Here is a 24,831-nt window from a genome sequence, read left to right as displayed (position 1 = left end):
AGAAAGCACACTGTGCAATTAGAGAAACGAGTTTAAATCTTTGTTCTATCACTTAGTAACTTTTGACCTAGAGCAGATTACTTAACATTTGAATGTCATTGAGGATGAAATGCTAAAAATCCACCTGCTGGGGGATCATATGAGACAACACATGTAAGCACTTCAACATAGTGCTTGGCACGTAGGGGTCACTCATTCCTTTGATACTTGTCGCTTTCCACCTCATTATAGTTACTAGGGTGACTTAAACTGTTAGATTTTCCAACGCAGGAACTTTATTGATCTTTGTGTCACTTGCAATATACTGCACAATGTCTTATACATGGCTGACATTCAATGCATACATGCTGAATGGATGCTCAAATATCCCGCAATATATAGCTTGGCTTCATGCCATCATATTTCTTGGGGTTTCTGGAAGTGGTATACAAATAGGATTGCGGGAAAATAGATCCTGTAACCCTGGTTAAGTCCCTATACTTCTTGAATCCTCCATCTAGGTATCTTTTGAAAGGAGAAAATTGTCTGTCACACCCAAGATTCCTTGCAGCCCTAAAACTTATAATCATGATACAGGTTAGCATTTACTGAACTCTCATTAATATGCCTGATTCTTTACTAAGTTTTTTGGGTATGTAAAAATGTTTAATCACAACAACTGTGCCATATAGGTTTTATAATGGCCATTTTCATAACAGGAAGCTGAAATCTGGGGGCAGGGGTCTGCAGACTAGGTGGTCTTGTTTTTGTAAATAAAGTTTCACTGTGATATACTCACACTCATTTGTTTGCATATTGTCTGTAGTTGCATTGACATTACAGTGGTAGTGTTGAGTAGTTGTTGAGGCAGAGACTATATTGCTTGCAAAGCTGGAAATGTTTACTCTCTTCCTTTACAGGAAAAGTTTGCTAACCTCTGGGTGACCTACTGAGAGAGTGATCAGTGACACTCAGGTATGTGGAGTTAAAAGCTCACATTTCGTCCTCTACATGGCTGTGATTCTTTTATCATGATCACTATTTACAAGAGAAAAAAAGGGTCAAGGCTGAGAAGTTGATGCTTAAATCTTATAGGATGGTGCTGTATCTTTTCAAAATGTAAAACTGGTTTTGTAAATCCCTGGCTTAAAAAGATAAAACAAAAGCAAATAAATAAATAAATAAATAAGCCTCTTTCTTCACTGTTTCCAGTGCCCTCTAAATCAAGATAAAAATGTTTAATGTGGCCTAGCAGTTCCTGTGTGATCTGGCATCACTAGCATAGCACGTTTAGCCTCATCACTCAAAGGTCCTTCTGCCTTCTTGATTCCAGCCCCCTGGCCTTCTCCCAGCCACTCATATTCACTACTACAGACTTGCCTTTGCTCATCCTATTTAAGCAGCATCCTCACTTCTTCCTCTGATGGTCACCTACTCAGAACTAAGAACTCTTCTTTAGTGTAGCACCTCCTCAAGGAAATCCCCCTGCCATTTCTTTGAGAAATTCAAATTCCCAGAACATAGGTTCTCATAACCTTCTAGAATTCTCCCCTGTTCTAGAATATTTTTTAAACTCATTTTATTTATTCATCCAACATTAGATGATTACCTGCTTGTTACAACCCCAGTGATTACGCTAGAAGAAAAAAACAGATGTAGTCTCTGATGAGATTACGTTGCTTCTTATTGTCTCACTTGCTTAATCATTTACTCAGCACACCTTATCTTTCAAATAGCAGCTCACAGGCAAGTATCTGGTGAGAAAAAATGTTAAGACCTCTGAAAGAGCAGCTGAAGAAATGTCAACTGCAGAACCGTGGTCTCCCTATTCATGTATCTGGTTAAGAATGCTCGATCACCTGGCCTTCTGTAGCTAGAAGCCATGGAGCCACACTTGGCACTAATTGAAAAATAAGCAGTGAAAGGATTTGCTTTCAACACAAATTTGAATAACTGGAATTATATCTTTATTATCTGAAGTGGGTGCTTCTGACTTGTCTACCTATTCTGGCATCAGGAAGAAATACCACAGAAATTAGCCTCTGGCTGGTCATGTCATTATAAGCCAGTTATAGCCCATTTTTAGAAAATCTGATGGATATAAAATCAATCTGCTCATACAAATAAATTTCAGATTTGTTATGCGTAATACAAAATTACCTGGTGCTTCAGAAATAAAGGATTCAGGACTGAGAAATGAGGAACTTAAATAAAAGAAACCTGTTAAAAAATAGACAGAAATGAAGACAAACATCTCTGAACTGATGAACTACATGGACTGGGAAATGTAATTGAATTTATAAAGAAAAGTGATAATTAAATGGCTGTCTTTTTAGAAACAATACTCTCCTACCAAGGGGCATAATGGGGAACATAAAACAGCACTTTAAAAGTTGTGAAGCACTATATAAATGAGAGGCATTATATTTATTTTTCTCTCCGTTACTGGTTTTAATCCTGATCACTAATAATTTGAAATGGCCCTTTGGCCTCTTCCTCGCAGTGCTGGGTTGCTACCCAATAACACCTGTGCAAATTCTGAGCCCCACTTGGAAATGTTCCTTCTATACATCTCCATCTATCTAGCCTCAATGCCACCACCCTGTCCTTAACTTTCCCTTTGATGATTTTCAAAGTTTGCTAATGAGTCCTTCCAAATTCAGTCTCTTGTCATTCCAATTCAGCCTACATGCGCTGCCAGAATATTTTTTAAACTCATTTTATTTATCCATCCAACATTAGATGATTACCTGTTTGTTACAACCCCAGTGATTATGCTAGAAGAAAAAAACAGATATAGTCTCTGATGAGATAAAATATAGGTTGCCAGATAAAATATAGGATGCCCAGTTAACTTTGAATTTCAAATAAACAACAAAATTTTTAAATTATAAGTATATTCCAAATATTGCATGGGACATACCTGTACTTTTAAAAAGTCAGTTATTTATCTGAATACAAATTTAATTGGCTGTCTTGCATTTTTATTTTCTAACAACCCTGTCTAACCCCAGTGGAATCTACTTAGGAAATGGATATTAATCAAATAATCTCACAACCAAATGTATAAAAAGGAATTGTGAAATGAGCAACAGGAGAGAGTTCTAGAAGGTTATGAGAACCTATGGCCTGGGAATTTGAATTTCTCAAAGAAATGGCAGGGGGATTTCCTTGAGGAGGTGCTACACTAAAGAAGAGTTCTTAGTTCTGAGTAGGTGACCATCAAAGGAAGAAGTGAGGATTCTGCTTAAATAGGATAAGCAAAGGCAAGTCTGTAGTGGTGAATATGAATGGTTGGGAGAAGGCCAGGGCGCTGGAATCAAGAAGGCAGAAGGACCTTTGAGTGATGAGGCTAAACGTGCTATGCTAGTGATGCCAGATCACGCAGGAACTGCTAGGCCACATTAAACATTTTTATCTTGATTTAGAGGGCACTGGAAACAGTGAAGAAAGAGGCTTAATTTATTTATTTATTTGCTTTTGTTTTATCTTTTTAAGCCAGGGATTTACAAAACCAGTTTTACATTTTGAAAAGATACAGCACCATCCTATAAGATTTAAGCATCAACTTCTCAGCCTTGACCCTTTTTTTCTCTTGTAAATAGTGATCATGATAAAAGAATTACAGGGCAATTGAAAGGGACAAGTCATATAGTATTTACATTACTGATCTGCAAACTGTAAATGCCAAAGATGTCCATTATAATTATAGTTATTACTCAACGTCCTCCATCAAAGAGCCCCAAACTCCTTCACCAGCCCTTCTCACAACTGAGCTCTACAAGCCCATAACTCAGCAAATGGAGTCACTGATTCTGGAACATCTGGTTTTTTTTTTTTTCCCAAGTATATTTCAGCCCATCTCCTGCATGCCTGTGGAAATAATTCTTCAAAACATGATATAAAGTTTATTTCTGCTATGAAGCACTTTTTAATGACCTAATTGGTTGTGACATCTTCCCCTCTAAATCCCCACGGTAGTTTCTACTTATCTCATGATGTTTGTCACACTACAACGTGCATTAAAATACTGTATGTTCTTACCTTTTCAGCCCACTCACTCTATTTTTTCATTAATGAGTGCCATTAAGCACCTTTTGTAAAAGAAGAACTATGTCAGCCAATCAAAATATAGAAATGAATGACTCATTCCTTACCCTTAAGAAAGGCAGAGCCTAATGAGGAAAACAATCACCATCAATAAATAACAGCAATGCAATGTTACATGTTTAATAAAATGAGAGTGAGCTCTTCCACCAAGGCGTGAACCTCTTGTAGGCAAGGCCCAAATCTGATGTATGTTTAAGAGTCTGACACCCTGGACAGTGCCTGGAAAACAGTAGAAGACTGAATATATGTTTAATAATTTTTGTTATTCAATGAGAAAACTTCTATAGCGAAAAAAGTAAACACAGAAGGCTGGGAAACTCACTGTGCAGTGGGAGATAGGGAAAACTTTGCAGACCAGATATTATGGAGTCAGCTGCAACGTGAAAAATTAGTAGCAGTCTACCAAATAGGAGAGATTCTCAATCAAGGGAAAAGTACAAACTAAAACTGATGTTTTTAAAGGGCCTACTGAGTATTGAGGTTAAAATGCTAGGTGGGAGCCCATATTTGTGAAGCATCTATGCCATTTATTCATCCATCCCTTTACTCAGCAAGATTTATGAAAACTCAGTCTTTGCCAGTCACTGCCTTAGGTACTGGGAGTCCAGCCATGAACAAGATCAGCAAGGTCTCTGCTCTCAGAACTTTCATTCTAGTGGGTTAATGGAAGCAATACACACATAAGGAACTGTAACAGAGATATTCAAGCTACAGTGAAAACAAAACAAGGTGGTATGCTGGAGAGACATTTGAAAGAGTGCTTTTTATTTTTTATTTTTTTAAATTTTTTCATATAATCTTGATCCTTCTAAAAAAGAGTGCTTTTTAGACTGGGTCATTAAGGAAGGGCTCTTGAGGGGATAACATTGAAGTTGAAGCCTGACGTATAAGAAGAAGGAGTGGCCATACGGCAATCTGGATGAAAACATCCCAGAGAAAAGGAACTGATCAAATAAAGGCACTATGGTAGTAGCAAGATTGATATATTCAAGGGGGGAAAAAAGGAAAAAGAAAAAGATGAAGGCCAAGGTAGTCAAATATGTTAGGAGGTGAAGTTGGGGATACACAGGGGCCAGATCATAAAGATAAGGGGCCAGCCTTTGTTCTGAGTACAGAGGAAATGACACGAAGAGCCCATGGAAGAGCGGCATGATCAGACTGGTGTTTCAGATGGATGGCTCCAATGGTGAGGGAAACATGGACAGGAGGGAAAAACAGAAGCTAAGGAAGGTCTGTTAAGGGAGGTTGTCACAACTGTTTAGGTGATATGGTTGAAAATGCAATAGAGATGGAAAGGATAGATCTAAGTATCATTTTAATGAATTGTAACCACACTGTAAGCCTTTGGGGACAAAGCTCATGTTTCACATTCCAGTTCAGAGCATGGACCAGTGCCTTGCATTGCTCATCATAAGTACTCAATAATAAAGTATGAATTCCAATGCATTTCTTTTGCAAACACTCCTCTCTGCTGTTTACCTATCCTTCTTATACTGAAGAACCCAGAAATTCTGTACAAGATTCTAGGTCATACAGGGTGATGTAATAGAAGCTGGGTAGCAGTTATTGCTCTGTCACTTAATACTTGGATGACTCTGATCAAGTCATTTATGCTTCTTTGGTTTTGATTACATCAGCTTAAAAAAATGGAATAAATAACAATCATACTACCTGTCCTCCTACCACACAAGGCTGTGCTGTGGATCAAATAATTACCGTGAATTTTCTCTGTAACACTGTAAAGCATTCTATAAATAACAGTAATATTAGAGGGATATGCCCAAACTACATCAACCACAAAGGGAAACTGGCCAAAACTTTGAATACTGATTTCATGTGTTGTATCTAATATTGAATGAGTTGATAACATACCCTTTCCTATGTAATAATTACCTGAGTTAACACACTACGTTATTTACCAAGTCATTGATTTAAAATACAGAACAAGAACACCTAATGTGTGCGAGAAAATATGCTAGGTATCTAGGGGAAATAAAGATAAAATAATCACGGAAAAACCAAGCGTCCTTCCTTTTAGTGTCATGCTCCTAAACTGCAGCACGACCCTCAGATACTTCCTCTTTATGGACAGATTGTACACTTTTCTTTTTATGACAAACCATCTTCAGCCAAGAGCTCCTTGGGTAGTTAATGGTGTCTTGTGATGATCCTTAAAACTCTCCTCTCATTTCACTCTTGATTAAAAAGAAAGCAAGCGCGGGATCTAAGCTCTTGACTGATTTATACTTCAATTTAATTTCTCTCTTTCTCTTTCCTCTTTCTTTTCACTGGATAAAACCTTCCATGTAATTAGGCTCAAAAGCTCTCATCAAACAGTTTGATTGAAATGCAGCATGCTGAATTTCCCCTCTAGGCTGCTGGGGCAGAGAGAAAGCAGGAGACCCCGTGAGGGGGTGACATGCCTGACACGGAGTGGGAGCTGCTCTCTGGATGGTAATTACAGGAAACAGTGCGAGTGTTTGGAGTATCTTGGTTGTCATGCTGCTCTCTGCTCCTTCTGTGCTCATTTGTTATCCAAGTGGTGCTGGAGACAATCCCAGTTTCCCAGTCCACAGCAAAACAGATGACACCTGGAAAGCCTGAGTGCTAACATTGTGATGCAGTAGAAAGAGACTAGAAAGAGACTAAACAGCGAAGCTGAAAGCTTGCACGTTGCCCTCGCCTTGCCTCTAATTTGAAAAGTGTGATTTGGGAAAACTATTCACAAACTTCTGGTCTATTAGCTTTTTCACATGAAAAATAACTTGATTGAAAAGGGCTTCTAAAGACCTCTTGCAGGTTTCGCATTTGATGATTCCACAAATGCAAAGCAGATTTTGAGTCCAAAGAAAGTCCTTCATCAGAACATTATTTTAGGGGCATGATCATTCCTCAGGGCCTGGAGAACTTGGTGATGAGGTTGTGGATCTATTTCTCAGGGACCAATATCAAGTTACTTTGTGAAGGGAAGTAAAAGGAACTATCTCAGGATTTTCTGAAAGAGAGTTCTTAATAATAATTAGTTTAACCAGTCTTTAATAGCTAACAGTTGATGAGGTTACCAATACACACACATAAAATGGCTCCCTGGCATGGAAAAAACAAGAAACATGAAAACACTAGTCATCCCAAAGAAGGGGGTTGTCTGTATAAGGCCAAGACTCTAGGTTTACCTTCCTATTTCACATAAAAGCTATCCTCTCCTGAGATTATTATTGACATGTTGACATGAGCCTGTGACAACACTGCACTGATAAATGATACCAGAGCAGTAAGAAGCAGGTACTGAAACCTCCCTACGTCTGTAATGCACGGCAGACTTAGTTCTCATGTCTGATCTTTACATTCTAAGCTAGGAACTAATTGGGCTGCTATGAAGGTTTTCTGTTACATCGTTTATTTTGGTTCACACATTTACCTACATGTGAAAGCAAACACACACATATTCACTCAAGTTGGAAACCCACTGCCCCTCTTAACGTATTCATTAGTTTCACCCTCATATTTAAAGAACTACTACCATATGTATGAAGGGCCAAGATTAAAAGTAGATTCAAGGTGATCTAATAAGATCTGATAAGGGTGAGGAAGTATTTTAGAAATCATTGGAATTTTGCCTTTTGGCATTAATGAAAGATGAATGCCACACTTTTGAAAGCAAAGCTGGCAGGCCACCTCACAGTTCCCTGTCTTTCAGGTGAGAGAATTAAAATCAGGAAAGTTTGGTTGCTTGCCTAAAATCATAAGTTGGGGAGAAAGCCTATCGTAATTACTGGAAAAGAAACTTCCTGAAAAAAACGGATTCTTAGAGTGAATTAAACATGAGGAGAATGAGGCACCAATGGGCTTCCCTGTCAAAGGAGAGGGGGTCCCTCACTCTTGGGTCCTTGATTGAAGATGTAAAGATGTAACTATTCATTGCCAGCAGATTCTGGAACTGGTGTGAGTTTCCAAAGGCTGTTTTGAAAAGCCTCTCCTATAATGTAATAGAATTTGTGAATCTAGGGAAGCATTCTGATTAGTTGCTTTCAGTATCCGGGAACTGTTCTACATTTGCACAGATTACCTGACCTAAGAGTTCAACAGATGCTATAGGCTAACTGCTTAGTAAGTGGAAGAACTAGAGTGAGTTGCTTAACCCTCTGGGGCTCAGTTTCTGTTCCCGTAAATTCATGATAACAATAGTGCCTACCTTGAAGGATGGTCAGTAAAGATTAAATGCAGTAAGCTAAAGTATTTGTTAGAATACCTCATATGAGGTAGGTGTTTACCTGTTTAGAAAATATTCTGTCTTCATAATTTATCCTGTATCTAGGTAGACCCTAAGAGGTCCTTTTAAAAATGGCCCAGTATTCCATTTAAGAATACCACTTTGAAATTTTTTCCCACCATTCAGGTAATATTTCATAAATACTGAAATTTTAAGAGTATTTATGAAATATTGTACTGTTTTCAGTATACTGTTTTCAGTATAATTTCAGTATATACTTATAGGTAATATAAGGCACAATCAGGTTGGGTATTTAAGCAGTTTGAACAGGACAGGTTCAAACTGCTTAAATACCCAACCTGATTGTGCCTTATATTACCTATAAGACCTTAGGCAACTGACTCAAACTTTCCATGCCTCCGAGTCTGCCTCTTTAAAGTGGGAAAATGGGCTGGGCATGGTGGCTATGCCAGTAATCCCAGCACTTTGAGAGACCAAGTTGGGAGGATCACTTGAGCCCAAGAGTTTGAGACTGGTCTGGACAATACCGCAAGACCCCATCTCTGCTAAAATAAATAACTAAAACTTAAAAAATGGGAAAACAACTCCACCTACTTCATGGGAGAATTAAATGAACTATAACGTTTATAGAAATGTCAGGCATATTGAAAGGCAAAAATGTTAGGCATAATAAAAAGTGATCAATTGCTATAATAAAAACCAAAGTAGATGTTATTGTCATTCTTATGAAAATAGAGGTTTCCTATCATCTTGTGTTTAACTTATCTAAGAAGTTTGTTTTAAGAAAAGAGAACATTCAAAGGTGACCATTCCATTATGCAGAGATATTGATTCAATGAAAAAAGATATATAATAATTGGCTCCTGGAAAAAATAAACAATAAAACTTTGGCTATCCAAATCACAGGATCCTCTCTCTGCCCAAATTATTCATGAGACCAAATTCTCCCCACAGCTGAGTTTTAACCCTTTAATCATCTTTTCAAACTTTTAAATGTATCAGAAAGTGGCTAGAATGGACCCAAAGAGTCTGACGAGGTTTTGCTTTATTGTGATCCAGTTGTTTTCTTATAAGAGACTTTCAGCTTTTATTAAAACCAGGGTTTCAAAGCAATTGGAGTTCCTCTATTAGTTATCAATTGTAAAGAAGCCGCAATGCTTTTGCTGCCTATCACCGCTTGCTCATGATAAATCTGGGATTTTAGGCCAGGAAATTAAATGACCCATAGACGCATTTTTAAAATTTTCAACCAGCGTGGTGGCTATTTTTTTTTTTTTTTTTTTTCTGGAACCACCAGAGCAAAACCCAGCCTGGGGAATCTCTTTAGTTCCTCTTGCTACCACATCCATGAATATGTCTGCTATGCTTATGCATTTCTTCAGGTCTTGCATGTTCTTCATTAAATGAGTTGACTGTGCTGCAACCTCAAATTTTTGAAAATGCTCATGTCACTTTGGTGTTTGGGATGATTATTTCTCCTACTTGTTTGAGTCTCTGCAGATAACCAGACTCTGCCTGTCTCCTCCTCCTTTCCCTTCTATGACACCACAGATGACAAAGGTGCTAAGCAAATAGATGTTAAGTAAAACACCAATGTGGGTTCAGTTTAATACCGTGCTCTATCAACCCGCTCTATTGCCTAGCAACCATGGTGGCTCACCCCGAGTTCATTTTCATTTAAATGTGCCACACAGAAAAGCAGCCTAAATATATATCGTCAGTTCTGAAGCATATAATCTGTAAACTACAGGAACAGGCAGATCATTTCCATTAGTTTTTTATGTAGCAAAAACCACAATTTTCACCCAAAGAGTGTAATTATATTCAAATTCTGAACGACTGCCTCGGAAATAGTTGAAATTCATAGTTTGGGGGAAAGTCACTCAGGAGTGAATACACATGGTTATGTTTTAACGTGGGGGGGTGAGAGGAATATTTCAAAACAATAAAAAAGGGAGGGCAGGACAGTATCTCAGAAAATGTGGCTTGCTGGTTTCCAGGGGCTTTATGTTTTCATAGCCACTCAATAGCTGGTAAGCAAGAGGTCAGGACTGGGGCTGGGGACAGGTCTTCAAACAAGATCCTGGTCACAACTTCCAGATGAGGAGCAGCAACAGGTGAACAGACAGGCCATTTCTTTCCTGCCTTCTGGCAAGTGACATCCAACCAGGACAGGAAGCATCTTTCACAGAACCCCGAATCTGAGCACTTTTTCACACTGAGGTTTCCTATACAAAGGAAGCCTTCAGAACACACCAAGAAACCCTACCTTGGCACACAAAGCCAGGAACCTATTAGAAGGATTCTCATGATTAATTTTTTTTTTTTAGATAGAGTTTCTCTCTCATCACCCAGGCTGGAGTGCAATGGCGTGATCTTGGCTCACTGCAACCTCTGCCTCCCAGGTTCAAGTGATTCTCTTGCCTCAGCCTCCTGAGTAGCTGAGATTACAGGCGTATGCCACCACGCCCAGCTAATTTTTTTATTTTTAGTAGAGATGGGGTTTCACCACGTTGGCCAGGCTGGTCTCAAACTCCTGACCTCAGGGGATCCAGCCACCTTGGCCTCCCAAGTGTTGGGATTACAGGCATGAGCCACTGCGCCCAGCCAATAATTAATTTTAATGGAAGGCCTGGCAAGTCCAACACTGGCAGAATATGTGCCTGCAGGACATAATCTGGATAAGGGGAGATTTCTCTGAAGAAAGAGAGATGGGGAACAAGTTTGTAATTTAAGAAAGTGTCTTGAAGGACTGAGAAGTAGAGGAAAGAAAAGGCAATGGACTCAGAGTCATGATGTCTGTGCTCCTGACCAGTCCTGACACTAACTGGATGCTCTTAGTTGAGTCCTCACCCTGCCTACCTGGAACATTGAGCTCTCTTATATCTCTAAGTTCTACGAGCCCATTGGTGTGCTTTTGAAGGGTGCATAACTTCCTGTGCCTTTGCTTCTTTTATAAACTAGCATCCCTCCTTTCCTAGTGCAAGAGATTTGATCATGTGGAACCTCACTCAATCATTTATTCATTGATTCATTCATTCAAAAAAAAAGACATATCAAGTGTGAGTGTTTCATCAGTCTGCTCCTTTTATTTACTATCTCCTTGGGTTGAAACGGGTTCAGGCAGATTGGAAAACATTCAAATACTTATTAGGAATTGGAAAGTCTTGTAGATGCTTTGGAAAGGTGTGTTAGCTGCATTAATCAAAGTGCTTCATCAATCTGTGTACTTGATTCCTGACAAAAGAGCTTGATGTGTTTGTGTAGTCTGTTTCCTGAGTTGACAGACTGTGTGGTACAGCAGAAAGACCAAGAGTTTTCTGGTCACAACCAGGTTTGAATCCTGGCTTTAACACCATGTTAATCAAGCCACTTAACCTCTCTGAGTCTCAATGTTTTTAATCGTAAAATAGTCACTTTATTAGGTTCAAAGGCTAGTGAGGATTAAATGAAGTCACATATGTAAAGCATTTGGAAGAGTACCTGTCACACAGTGGGTGTACATTATGTGTTGGTGTATAACTCAAGCAAGTCTCTCTCAAAATCCTAACTGTAAATAGAAATAAACCATTTCCTCTTTATAAACCCAGTTGCTAGTCTGCCCCCTGCTCTGATATGGCTAAACACAGCAGAATATTTTAAACATAACATAGAGCTCCTTTCTAGCATTATTAAGGTGTGTTTAAATGAAAGCTGCATTCTTCCCATCTCAGCGTGACTGCACTGAAGTTGGATTGTGGGCTTTATAACATCACAGTGTGCCACTCTGGTACATTATGCTGCTTCTGTCTGAGGGGAAAAGAGAAAACCTGGCTTATGGCTTTGGCATAAGTTATTATGATAGTCAAGAAAATAGACCTATAAAATACTGGCAGACTTGTGGAACTCAGATAGGTTTAAGATGCACAGTGGTGTCTTTAAAGACATACAAATCAGAGACTCATGCAGTTCCAGTGCTGGAAAACATTTGGAGAGATCATCTCACTCAAATCTCTCATTGTACAAATGATGAAGATATGAAAAGGAAAGTTTTCCCCAGCTATGGTATTAAGGAGCTTTCATACTACATGCCATGCAGAAAACTACAGGTAAAGCCAAGAATATAGGTTAGGAAATCAAGGTATCACACAGAATGTCTAAAAGTTAAAAGATGAATATAATTTAAAAATATAATGTTATAATTCAAAGTTACAGAGCTGGTCAGGGAGAAAACTGGGGCAAAATCTATGTATCAGGACCATGTCTCTCAGTAAGAATTCTGTTTCAAATTCAGGCTTCACAAAGTCAATTCTAAGAGTTCTGGCATAATATTGTGCTCCTATCTGCTCTACAAACTTTGAGCCCTAGTAAGCCTAAGAAATTGCATTAAAAGAAGTACTTCACTTCCACATCTGAAGGTAGTTGTCCCTAAAAACACCTGCTTCTTCCCAGCACAAACCAGATTAAAAATCTTAGTTTACAATGGACACTGAGAACCATGTAGGAATGTTTGAATTCTGCACAGGTTTACTGCAAATGGGATCCAATTCTGAATTTCCAAAATGATCTCAGAGTATTTCTTGGAGTCCTCTCTTTTCACTTTACTGAATCCCTGAGCTTCTAAATGATTTGCTATAATGTGTTGGTCCATGCTAAAATTTGCCTGGCATGACTTTCTACCTAAGCAGACCATTACCAAAAATCACAAGCTGACTTTTGTCCCATGCTGTGTTCTAGTGCCATAAACATGAAAATACAGTAAAGTGTTTCTCATCTACATTTACTCAGAGTACTATGTAAATGAAATAATCTCTAGGAGGCAAAAAAGTGTATGTATAGATAGGAAAATGAGGAGAACCAGCAGATGCATGTTCTTTAACCACTATCTACCAACCAGCAAATGATCAACATTGAAGCTCCTCTTTGTGCAAGGAATTCAAAGAGGGCAGCCTTATCATGAAAATATGTCTCATAAAATATTTAACCTGTACACATTGGTTTAGAATGTACAAAATACAACTTGTTTAATCTCTCATACAATTTCTGTGATATAAGTATGGTTAACTATTATTATTGCTCACTTTAAAGGTGAAGAAATTGAGTCTCAGTGAAACCAAGTGACTTATTCATTGTGACTTAAGTTCACAATGTTTCTTAGTAACTTAGTTTCTTAGAGACAAAGTTTCTTAGAACCAAAGGTTGAGGTTGAAGGCTATTTCCTCCAACCATAGTTGTTCCCACCTCACCTAACACCACACTGTCCACCAGAATGCCATTATTATTTATCTATTATCAACATCAGCACGCATTTTGAGCACAGAAACAAACAGACAAAGAAAGGTATACCCTTTCCCCAAAGATGGAATGCTTTGCTTAGGATTTAGAACAACCAGAACTTATATATACACTATATATATATATATATATATATATTATTCTCTCAATCATCTCACCAAGCTTCATAACCATGTCATGAAGTAGACAATTTACCTCATATTTATATTTTCAGATGAACTTTCAAAAAATAAAATTGAAGAGAAAAATAATTAAACTGATGCCTATTTAACATATTTTTCAATTGAGAAATATGAAAATTGAAAAACGAGAAATTTATACTTAGTTAACCTATTTTTTCTCTTGTTTTCACCAAAGGCTGAGATGTGAAAGTAGTTGGTAATTTGTGTTTCAGGAAAGGCAAAGAGCAAACAACTGTAGTTCATAAAGGAGTCAGTGGCAGGAGTGGAGGGTCTGGGTCAGAAGGGTAGCAGGTCTAGGTAAAGAAAGCTTTAATGTGTGGACATTAGAGCATGTGTCTGCAGTCAGACAGAATTAGTCTATGTGCAAATAAAGATCTGGACTCAGTCACAGAAGATAAACTGAGAAGAAAGAAAACACAAGTCTTCACTGAACCAATAGCTGTTTTTTTCCCCATATCTGTAAACACAACATTACCTCTTAGGGCACTATCTTATGAATTTTGTAAATTGCAACCATTGTCACTGAAGTTTTATTTTTCTGCTGTGAAAGTTTGAGTCCAATGGGTATTCACTGAACAGTACAGTTTTACTTCTTTCCCAATAACTGGGCGGGGGATGGTGGGGGGCGGTGGGGGGCAGCGCACGGTGAGGAGAAAGAGCATTAGGGGCTGAACTGTGTCTCTTCAAAATTCATATGTCAAAGCTTTATTCCTGGTACCTCAAAATGTGAGTGTATGTGAGGACAGGGCCTTTAAAGAGATGATTAAGTTAAAATGAGGCTTTTAGGGAGGACCCTAATCCAATCTGATGGATGTTCTTATAAGAAGGGAGAATTTGGACACACAAAGACACCAGGGATGCATGCATGTAGATCAAGGTGAGACCCTATGAGGACACAGTGAGAAAACAGCCATCTGCAAGCCAAGGAGAGAGATGTCAGAAAGAACTAAACCTGCTGACACCTTGGTCTCAGACATTTACTCTACAGAGCCTTGAGCAAACAAATTTCTCTTGTTTAAACCACCCAGTCTATAGTACTTTACTACTTTATGGCAGCCCTAGCAAACTAATACAAGGAGGAAAGTATGAGTAAGTTCAAGATTTATCTTCAGAGATTTGCTTCCCTCCCTGGTCACCCAGAGTTCTAGTAAAGCAAACTTCTTTGGGCTGATAAGTTCATTTACTAAAATGTAAAATGAAATACATTTCTCTTTTAGATTCAAAATCTGAGGTGAAAGCAATCAAGTTCTTACTGTAAAATTTCATCCCGCAGCCAGTATCGGCAAGTTTTTGTGTGTGTGTGTGCGTCTTGTTTTTTGTTCTGATGATCTTATCTCTCCTCTCTATGATATAGCTGCCCCTACTCCACACCACCCAGTGATCCATGTTGAAAGTCCTGAAGAAATTGACACTAGGATATTATAATCATCCTATGGTGGTCTCTCAAGAACAAGTTAATCTCCAGACCCACCACTCACCAGTGAATTTTAAAGAAGAAAAACAACGCATCTAGAGGAGCCAAAGATGGAGAAACCAATCTAATTAATTCATCACCAAGGCCAAAGATATATAAATCTTATCATTTGATCTGTCAACCAACACTATGAATTATTCAACTCCCTGAATCTCAAGAAGGCAGGCATAAAGAAAGTGGTTAGAAAGCAGCTGGCTGAGCAGAAGAAGGCACTCAATAGATCAAAGCAAAACAAGCCCCCAAGGCTGAAAAAACTTTGGGGGTGGATCCCTGGGACAAGGAATGAGTCCAAGAAAGACTCCAGGATCATGTGTCACAAGGGGGCCCATCACCACCACTTCTGCTAAGATGGTTTGAATAGGACTTTTATACTCCCCCTTTTCACACACCCTGGTTTCTGAGCAAGAGTTCTTCCTGCAAATATAGCGTGGTGTGTTCCCTTTTAAAACTGAGCTTTCCAAGAGTTCCATGTCCTCAACTAGTCCCCACAAATCGTCTACAGAGGCAGGAAAGTCTGCTGTTTTATAGAGAATAGCATTTAAGGTACATATAAAACCTTGAATCCTTAGAGAAACCTGCATTTAAACTATAAATACTGAAGCATTTTTTAGGCAGATGTACATTGGAGATACATATATATATATATATATATATATATATATATATATATATATGTATTTTTAGTAGAGACGGGGTTTCCCCATGTTGGCCAGGCAGGTCTCAAACTCTTGACCTCAGGTGATCCCCCCACCTCGGCCTCCCAAAGTGCTAGGATTACAGGTGTGAGCCACCATGCCCAGACACATTGGATTTCTTAAAGGTCCAATGACCTTTAAGAGAGAGAGGGAAAAAAAGAAGGAAAAAATATACAAAAGTTGCTTATGTAATTAAAGCTTGGTAAACAAATATATTTTACTATTTATATATCTGTAATCACTAAACTACCTTGCACTTTGATAAAAAATGATATTTACATATGGAAATAAAGCCAAGGATGAAAAGGAACCTGGAGGGATATTTTAAATAACAGGATAATGTAAACCTTCATTTTATAAAGGATATTTTGATTTTGTATTAATTTCGCTTGGTATTTGGATCTCCACCCACTCCTTGCACTTTTTAAAATATGGAAGCATATATATATATACTTTTGCAATTATTCCTAGCTGAACACCACAATGTCTTATTCGGTTCTGTATCTTCAGCAGTAGCCCACAGCCTGGCACAGAGTATGTGCTCAAAGAGTATTGACTGACTGGTGAACAGAAGAGAGCATGAAAGTGGGGTGAGGACTCTAACAGAATGGGGAAGAGCCTACTAGATTCCCATTAAGAAGAAGGTTAATCCTATCCTGAAACACAATCCTAATGTGAGATTTTTTGGGGGCACCCCAGGTAAGTGTGGCCTTAGTCTCCCTAATTTACAAAGAATCCCAGCATCCTCTAGGCTGTCCTGGGATAAAGGCTTTAAGCAAATCTATAATATAACCAATTTTCTAAAGCTTGGAACCAAGCACAGGCAAAAGTGTAGGTAAAATATCAGCTATTTGGAGGATTTCTGTTTCTTCCATCTGTCTTAGCATGAATCTCTCTATAGGTCTGGATAGTAGAGAAAGGGGGTGGGAGCACCAACTGATGAACAGCAGCTTTGAGGACTTTGGCTTCTCAGGAAATGGGCAAGGGAAGAGCAAGTGTAGTTAAAAAAACAACAATCTCTTAAGTCCAAAGAAGATTCTTGGACTCAAGGCTCTAGTTTTCTTTCATACCAAAATCAAGGGCATTTACTTTTTCACAGACAACAGAGAGTGCTGCCTTTAACTCTGGAATAAGATTGGCAGTAAATCATCAATAACAACCATCAGTCTCTTGGTGCCATGCCTCCTACCACCTCCATCCAAAAATATTTTTTAAAACAATTGCTGTTAGCTAGGTCTTTGTCTTGGACTAGGAAAAAGCAAGTGTACACCAAGTAAGAATGAGAAGTGCATTAGCAAAGCTCTGTGGGGTCTTCTGGTCCTTTTAGTTAGAGACGCAAAGGGTCACAGCTTGGGTGCAGGATGGAAGCCAGAGGTAGGGATATTTTGTTGATTGCTGCTTCTCTTGATTTTATGCTCAAAAACACCAATTAAATATGCAAGGAGTCTACTTAATACAGATGCATTCACTCTCCAAGCCCCAAATCAATGAGTTGGGACTTCAGGATTGAAAGAGGATTCTGAAGAGCTGAATTCATGAGTTTTCTTATCTCAGCCATGCCAGACCCTGGATGGAGTTCACTGTACTCTACAGCTCTGGTGAGTCTGAGGGCCTTTTCTGGGGTCTCTAGCCATTTACTTACTTTCTTCTTATTTTCCATCACACTGAACCTTATCAGATGTAGGTTAATGAGAAACTAGACTGGGGACCAGTCAAAAAGATTTAAAGGAGACTGAGCAACCAATCGTTGAAGAAATAAACTAAATAAAGGGTCATGTTTAACCTGTGCAAGGCTCAACCCCTTTATGAGAGAGAGAGAGAGAGAGAGACTGACTCTGACTTAGGGACCCTAGGGAAGTACTGCTCTGCAAATTCCATCACTTACTAGTATCTGCTGTAACTGTTTACAACCCGAACAAAAGATATCAAGACCCTGCCACCCATAACCTGTAATGCATAATCTTCCTCTCCCTGCTGATCATTTACAGTAATTAGCAAAATTTAGCTAATCTCTGAGCATTTCCGTGTTTAATTATGGCTATTAGTAACAGTCTCTCTGGCTTCCCCTATCTCCCACTCCCTCTTTTTTTCCTGTCTTACCCGCTCCCCCCAGTCCCTCTCCCCCTTAGGAGCTAAGTTTCCATGTCAATGAAATTGCTTTTTTGGTGGTTGTGGCTCTTTTTTCTCCTAGGTTTGTTTGCTTCTTTCTTTTTTAAGGGAGCCAACACCAGACCCAGCAGGAGTCACAGAGAAAAGAGCCACCAGATCAAGATCAAGCAATCCCTTCTTTTCACCATCCCCCTCCACCAACCTTACAAGCTGTGAGCTGCTTGACAACTCCATCAAATAAAATTTAAAGACAGAGTCAAAAAGAGCCAGAGTATGTGCTGGCATTTTCTCAATGTGCTTCCACTTACACTACAGACAGCATAAAGCCAAAGCTCAGGGCTAGGAGGCAGCAGGAAGAATCAACTTTCCAAATAGGGTCTGGATGTTATCAGTCTTCAAAATACAAGGGCAGGAACCCCCTAGTATGGTTCACGCTCATGTTCCCTGGAGGGCTGTTCCTGCAAACATAAAGCTGCCAAAACCAACACAAATGGCCACGGGTTGTTAATTATATTTTCTGCCTTCTTATATTTGGCTACTTTTCCCTGACCATTACCACACAGGCTACTTTATAACAGTTCAATCAACTTCAGGCTGAAAACCTGATTCCTGTTGTCAGCTATTCCCACCCCACCCCCACTAGCTCCCAAGCAAGACCAGTCTCCATTTCTGTGTGTCCTACTCTCCTTACCATCAGAGTGGAGTGCATAGTAAACAAATTAAGAAGCTCCTTTCTTTAGAACAGTTTACCACAGCAAGCTCCTACCTTAGCTGCAGACATCGCCCTTTTAGAGGCAGCCGGCTAACAGCTGAGTATCATTTTCAGAGCCATAGATCTCTTCCCTCAATAGCCATGTAAGGAGGGTTGTTTGGAGTAAAACCCATCGTACCTGTATTGTGTGAACAAGCCCATCTCTGCTACCTAAAGATGAAATAACATTTGCATACACGGGGAATCCAAGTTACTGTCATTTACACTTGGGTAAATTATAAATGAACTTAGCCTTATCTTACATATTGCTTCCTTTCTGATAGCAATAGTAGATGTGTAGTTTTAGAGATAGCTGCTTTTTCCACTAGATATGTGGACAAACATAAAGCTGCCAAATTCAACACAAATGGCCACAGGTTGTTAATTATATTTTCTGCCTTCTTATGTTCGGCTACTTTTCCCTGACCATTACCACACAGGCTACTTTATAACAGTTCAATCAACTTCAGGCTGAAAACCTGATTCCTGTTGTCAGCTATTCCCACCCCACCCCCACTAGCTCCCAAGCAAGACCACAGCAAAGAAGGGTGAAAGCAAGGTGAATGAATATTTCTCCAAGTACAGCACTGGGACTCACCTGATAAGTTGCCTGTCTCCGTGGGGGTGGAGAGAGTAGAAGGTTGCAAAAGAGAGAGTGTGGTGTCTGTGCAGCTATGAATGAGGGAGCTAAGGGGAAAAGAACCCTTTAGAGAAAAGTGGAGATGGTTGTCGGAGGCTAGGGGCAGAAAACACTAACCTTTATGAGAAAGTAGAAATTTGCTTCCCTCATGGACATACGATGCTTTTCATCATTTTAAATTCATTTTTTTTAAATTCCCTTCCCACCTTTGACACTACCTGCAAGGCTAGTGGGTTAGCGAATTGCTATGCCCCATTAAAAGGATAAAGAGCAGAGAGACCTACCGTGTCCTCCTCGAAGGGAAACAGGGGAACGATAGATAGAAATAGGCACTGAGTGATGCTTGCTGCCATGGAAATGGTGCTCGTGCTGAGAGTGAGACCCCGGCGAGGAAGAGGTGGAGGAGGAGGAAGCTACATTAGAAGAACTCCATACAGAGCTGACGATACATCCCCAGAACAGGAACCAGATCCCAAGCGTCCAGGCCGGCCGGCGAGGAGGGCTCCGTCTCGCGTGGATTCTCAGGTGCATGGTCAACGCACGGGACCACTACAGATGGGCAGTTTGAATTCCAGCCAGTGAGGAGTAATGAAGTTCATGATGCCCAAGGGCCCATCATAGCAGGAGGAAGAGTTGCCAGAATTCGGGGAAGAGGGAAGCAATATGCGCTTTCCAAACAATGAATCAGTTAAAAAATTACTACTTAAAGAAAGAAAAAAAAAAGATAAAAGGCAAAAAGCCCCTTCTCTTTCCCGGAGCTGAAATTTAGAATGCCAGGGTCCTCCCAGGTATAGCAAACCTCCTACGGAGCCCCGGCATGCCACGCATGTCAGGGGAAGACCGGCGCGGCTTCCTCCGGATCTCTAGGCACTTCGAGTCTGATGACTTAACCGCACACTCCCGGGAGCCACACAGAGGAAAGGTGGCAATGAAGGAAGAGAAGGAGGCAGCCCGAACCCAAGTGGGTTCAGGTGAGTTTATCCCAACATCCAAGGAGTTTGAACATTTTTATTTTCCTGTTTCCACTTCCATGAGATGCAATGCAGAACTGCCAGGCAAAAGGGGGCTGCAGGTGGAAGAGTTCTTCGGGTGTTCCTGGGAGTCTCCGCGGAAGGGCGCGAGGCTTTTAACCCTGGGCGTGCTGGACTAGCGCCACGGAGCAGCCGCCGGCTTCCTGGGTTTCCCAACTGGATGAAAACCAGCAGCAGCAGCAGCCACCGCAGCCAGAGGAAGAGAATAAGAAGGACTGGAGGGAAAGAGGAGAGGAGGAGGAACCCGGTGCGGAGCAGCCACCCAAACCAACGTGGCACGGGGTGGAGGGAGGTGGGTGGGCGAAATCAGCGAGAGCGCAAGAGGAGGTGCCTGGCAGGCTGCAGAGGTGGCCGAGAGGCGGGCGGGCGCCTGCGAAGTGCGCGGACCAGGGAGGCACAGGTGAAGTGAAGCGAGGAGTTGGGGAGCCAAATTCACAAATGGGCAAGTCATATGCAAATAGCGCACTCCCGAGAGCAAATCAGTGCAGCCCCAGCGCTCTGCCGAGGGACTGGCTGGCTCCGGAGGAAGGAGGGGCCAGAGCGACCCGGAATCCCGGCCCTTCCCATTCAAGCACAGGCTCGTATACACCCGCGCGAGCCTCCAGCACACGCCGCCCGCCCTCCTCTCGCTCGCGCGGCTCCCGCCCCGCCGTGTGTGCGCGCGTGTGTGACACCGACAGACCGACACTGCGCCTTCTTTATCACCCGTGCCCTGCTCTTCTCCCAGGCGCGTGAAACCAAACTCCAGCCATGAAGGCACCTTCTCACAATTTCGGAGGAAAAGTAAGGGCGGCGGCTAAGGCCGAAGTAGCTCCAAATAGAAATAAAAATAAACCCCTTGAGGCAGCGCGAGCGCTGGAGCTGCTGCACGCGGTGGTGCCGCACGCGCGCTCCTCCCTGCCTGGCGGTGGCTTGGGCGACCACTCTCCAGGCGCGTGTGTCTCCCGGGGTTAAAATGCCCAGGGCCCCTCCCGCAGGGCGAATGATGGGAATCTGAGTCCGGACTCCCAAAAGTGAAGGTGGAGCGGTGGCCTGGGGACTCCAAAGGGTGAAGGGCTCCGTGATTGGCAGTCCTTCCAGAAGGTGGCTGCCACCCCCGGTGGTGGATAGGACACTGTTGGGATTCAAAATCCAGAGGTTATCGTCCGCGCCTGTAGTCCTGATCAAAAAACTTCAGAAGGGGAGAGGGCCAAGTCGGCTGGCTCAAAGAGAAGTGACTGGCGCCTGTCCGGAACTGGCTGCAGAAGGGCTGCCCCAGGTGGGTGAAGTCCCCTGGGCGCTGGGCATCAAAGACAGCACGGTGTTTACCTCACGACTGAACACGCAGGGGAGAGCCAGAATGGCAGCACCTGTCCTCTGTCGTGGCCATCTGTGACTCCAGGAGGGGACTGACCCAAGGCTCTGCCAGGACACGGTAACACTGTGGACTAGGCGGCATCCACCCCTCCAGTATGTCTCATGCGCAGGAAGGACAAACCCAACAGGCTGCCCTCTCAGGCCAGGTTGTTGTCCACACAGGTCTTGCTAGCTTTGACTCCCTCCTACCATTCACCTTGGGTAAAAAGCCCATTACATTTGCAGGGAGGAAGGGGAGGTGAGTGAACAATACTTGCTGGTTAAAACATATATATGTTGTATTTAGGAGGCTTTTTTAAAAGGAGCTTATAGCACCTATTATATACTCCACTCTCATTTCAAACCCCCTGAGGATAAAGAACAGGGATTAAGACAGCCCTATTCATCCTTGAGACACCCCAAGGAGGTGTTGAGGAAACAGCATTATGTCTCTCTAACAAAAAGACCAAACCTACAGGTGATTTGCCTTCAAGGTCATACATCAAGTCCATTTCAGAATTTATGGCAGTGAACTGGTATTCTGGTTCTGAAATTGGTGTCCTCCAAAAGCTTCAAGCTGCCCGTAGTAAATGATGCACACAGTCACCCTAACTGCCCTGGCTCTCATTTGTAAGGGTGGTCCAGGATCCACAGCCCCCCAGGAAATGGCCCTCTGACAAGGTCTTGCATACTTTTGGGTGTGCCCCCACGCAGTGTCTTAAACCAGCAGCATGCTCTCAGGGACACCACAGCAAGGGGAAGGGGTGGTTTATGGACATTCCATTGAAACCTCAGTTTCCTCCTCTGTAAAATGAGGAATATGCCTCCCTCTCGAGGTTGTTGGGGGTTTAAAATGAGAAAATATACAGTATCTGGTAGAGCACCTGACAAACAGTGGCAATATTCTTTGTCCACTAGAAAAATAAGCTGAAGCTCTAAAAAGGTGAAGAACAGGTTAAGTACATGGTTAGGGTCTTATGCTATTATTGCTAGAAAAGCCAGAAAAAATTCTTAATATCCTAAATATCCATGATAATTTCCACTCAATTCAACCACTCCTTGATTTAGTCCCCAGGTGGATTTCCACTGCACTTTTGGCCTTAAGGCGGCCTAGATGACTCTGCTTAACTCTAATGCTTCAGCTCCATCTCCTGCCAGATGCCCCATTCCTCCCTACTCTCTAGTTCCCCAGGTCTTTCTGCTTTGATCGTGGGAAGTTTTTTCTCATCCCAAGGCCTTTATAGCATTGTTGGCCCCTTCTGTCTGGAAGGCTTTTCCCCAAGATTTTCATGTGATGGGTGCATTTCAAATGTCACCTCCTCAGAGACCCTCTCTGGTCCTCATTTAAAGTTGACCACCACCCCTGGAAGGCATCCCCTCCCATTACCTTGTTTTATTTCCTTGACAGCACTCTCCAGTGTCTGAAATTATTTTATCTGTATACTTGTTCATAGTTTATCTCCTTAAAATGGTTATAAGCTCTCTGAGGGCTGAGTCTTCATTTTCTCCTGTTTTCTGTGTGTGTGAAAAAATAGGTAGCACATCATACGGGCTCAGTAAATACTGGCTGAATGAACGAACTCAGTGAATCAATTGCCAATCTCATACTCACATTTTCCTTATGCCATTAATTTTGCTGATGCGTTTGTCTGGCTTTAGCAGTGTGAATCCTCAAAGACAAGCTTTTCCAGAGTTGATAAACTGACCACCTACCCACTTACTGTTTTTCTTTTTTTTTTTTTTTTTTAATTGGCATTGAGCATTGGAGACTGCTTTGACTTCATTCTGAGGATGTGTGGGAAGCTTAGATGGACCTTCCAATTAATTCTCTGCTAGGCAATAAAGAGAAAATAAATCCTTAATGCAGTACAAAATCTGGAAATGCTGCTGGTGCATCACAGCTGGAACTATTCATTTCACTTGTCATACTTATAATTTATTTATTTACTTTTTGCAAAATGTCAAAAGAAGTCACCGTGAATTTTGGTAAGGCTGATTCCATTTGGGAACACAGTTAAATACTGAGAAGACTCTTCAGAGGACAAATGTAAGACAGGTCTATTTTACTTCTTCCACTACAAAGAGACAACCCCCAATTATCCTAATAAAATGAATGTCCCTCTCCAATTTACCCCACTGTTAATTTTTTCATGTGTTTCTTATCCCTCCTGCCCCTCCCTCTAGTTAACACATTCCTATTTCGACTTCTTTTCTGGATCCTGTTCTTTTTAGGTCTTTTAGAGCCTATATTAGTCTAACACATTAAATACATTTTTAAAGATTTTTAGCTCCAGTGATACTTTCTAAATACTGCCTGTAGCTAGAGTTCCAGCTGAAGGATTTGTCATCCCTTGTCCTACCATCAAAAGCTCTCCTCTTCCTCTTGAGTTGGCTTTTCTAGTGGGTCCCTTGAGTGATAACACTTGGGAATCAAGTGTATAGCTACAGGATGAAAATGAGAGTCCACTTTTAAGATAGAAAAGAAGAGAAATAGATTTAGAAACACTATGCTCACCCAGATTTCAAGTTGAAAAATATAAATAATTTCACAGGAACAACCACGCTTAGCTCCACTTGAATAAACCCCCCACGGAATCCTAACCATACTCTTTGGATCCTGAAATTTCTAAATGGAATACAATTTTAAAAAACCCCTATATTACTTCAGGCTTTAGAACTGGTATTATAAACCTTCTCCTCTTGCTTTTTAAATGTCCCCCCCCCCATCCTCACCCTGCAAGAGAATGTCCCAGGGTAAGGTGTGAGCATCTTTACCCATCAGACCCTTTATCTTGTTTTGGTCTGTGCCTCGGCTATGTGATAGTCTGGAGATTCTTTGGCTTCTGAAATAAGCCTTGTGATTGTATTTAAATGTGTCAGGCATCAGGAATCTAATGCAAAGTTGCTCTGTCCATCTGCTTGTTTTCTACAGTACTGTACATTTTATCTCTGCACAGGCCTCTCCTCACTTGTATAGACTCTGACTTGCCACTTTGCTGCCAGCAGGAGCTACCTGTCAA

At 41.1% G+C, this 24,831-nt stretch overlaps 1 protein-coding gene across 56 annotated transcripts in view; it reads right to left on the bottom strand.

Annotated features, from left to right (window-relative positions):
- The window catches only part of NRXN3 (neurexin 3), a 1,697,919-nt gene that overhangs the window by 568,024 nt on the left and 1,105,064 nt on the right, over positions 1–24,831 (bottom strand). For 4 of the 56 annotated variants that reach the window (NR_073546.2, NM_001105250.3, NM_138970.5 and 1 more), the window contains exon 1: positions 19,730–20,888. The exons of the other annotated variants lie outside the window; for them this stretch is intronic. Coding sequence is in view for 3 of the 4 variants with exons in the window: in NM_001105250.3 (NP_001098720.1) it covers positions 19,730–19,976 (247 nt within the window). In the remaining variant the exon portion in view is untranslated. Of the gene's footprint in view, positions 1–19,729; positions 20,889–24,831 lie in introns of those variants that run through there. 56 annotated transcript variants of the gene reach the window in all.

The sequence above is a fragment of the Homo sapiens genome, chromosome 14 (assembly GCF_000001405.40).
Source record: "Homo sapiens chromosome 14, GRCh38.p14 Primary Assembly".
In the NCBI taxonomy this organism is placed as follows: domain Eukaryota; kingdom Metazoa; phylum Chordata; class Mammalia; order Primates; family Hominidae; genus Homo; species Homo sapiens.
This window is presented reverse-complemented; position numbering and strand designations above follow the sequence as displayed.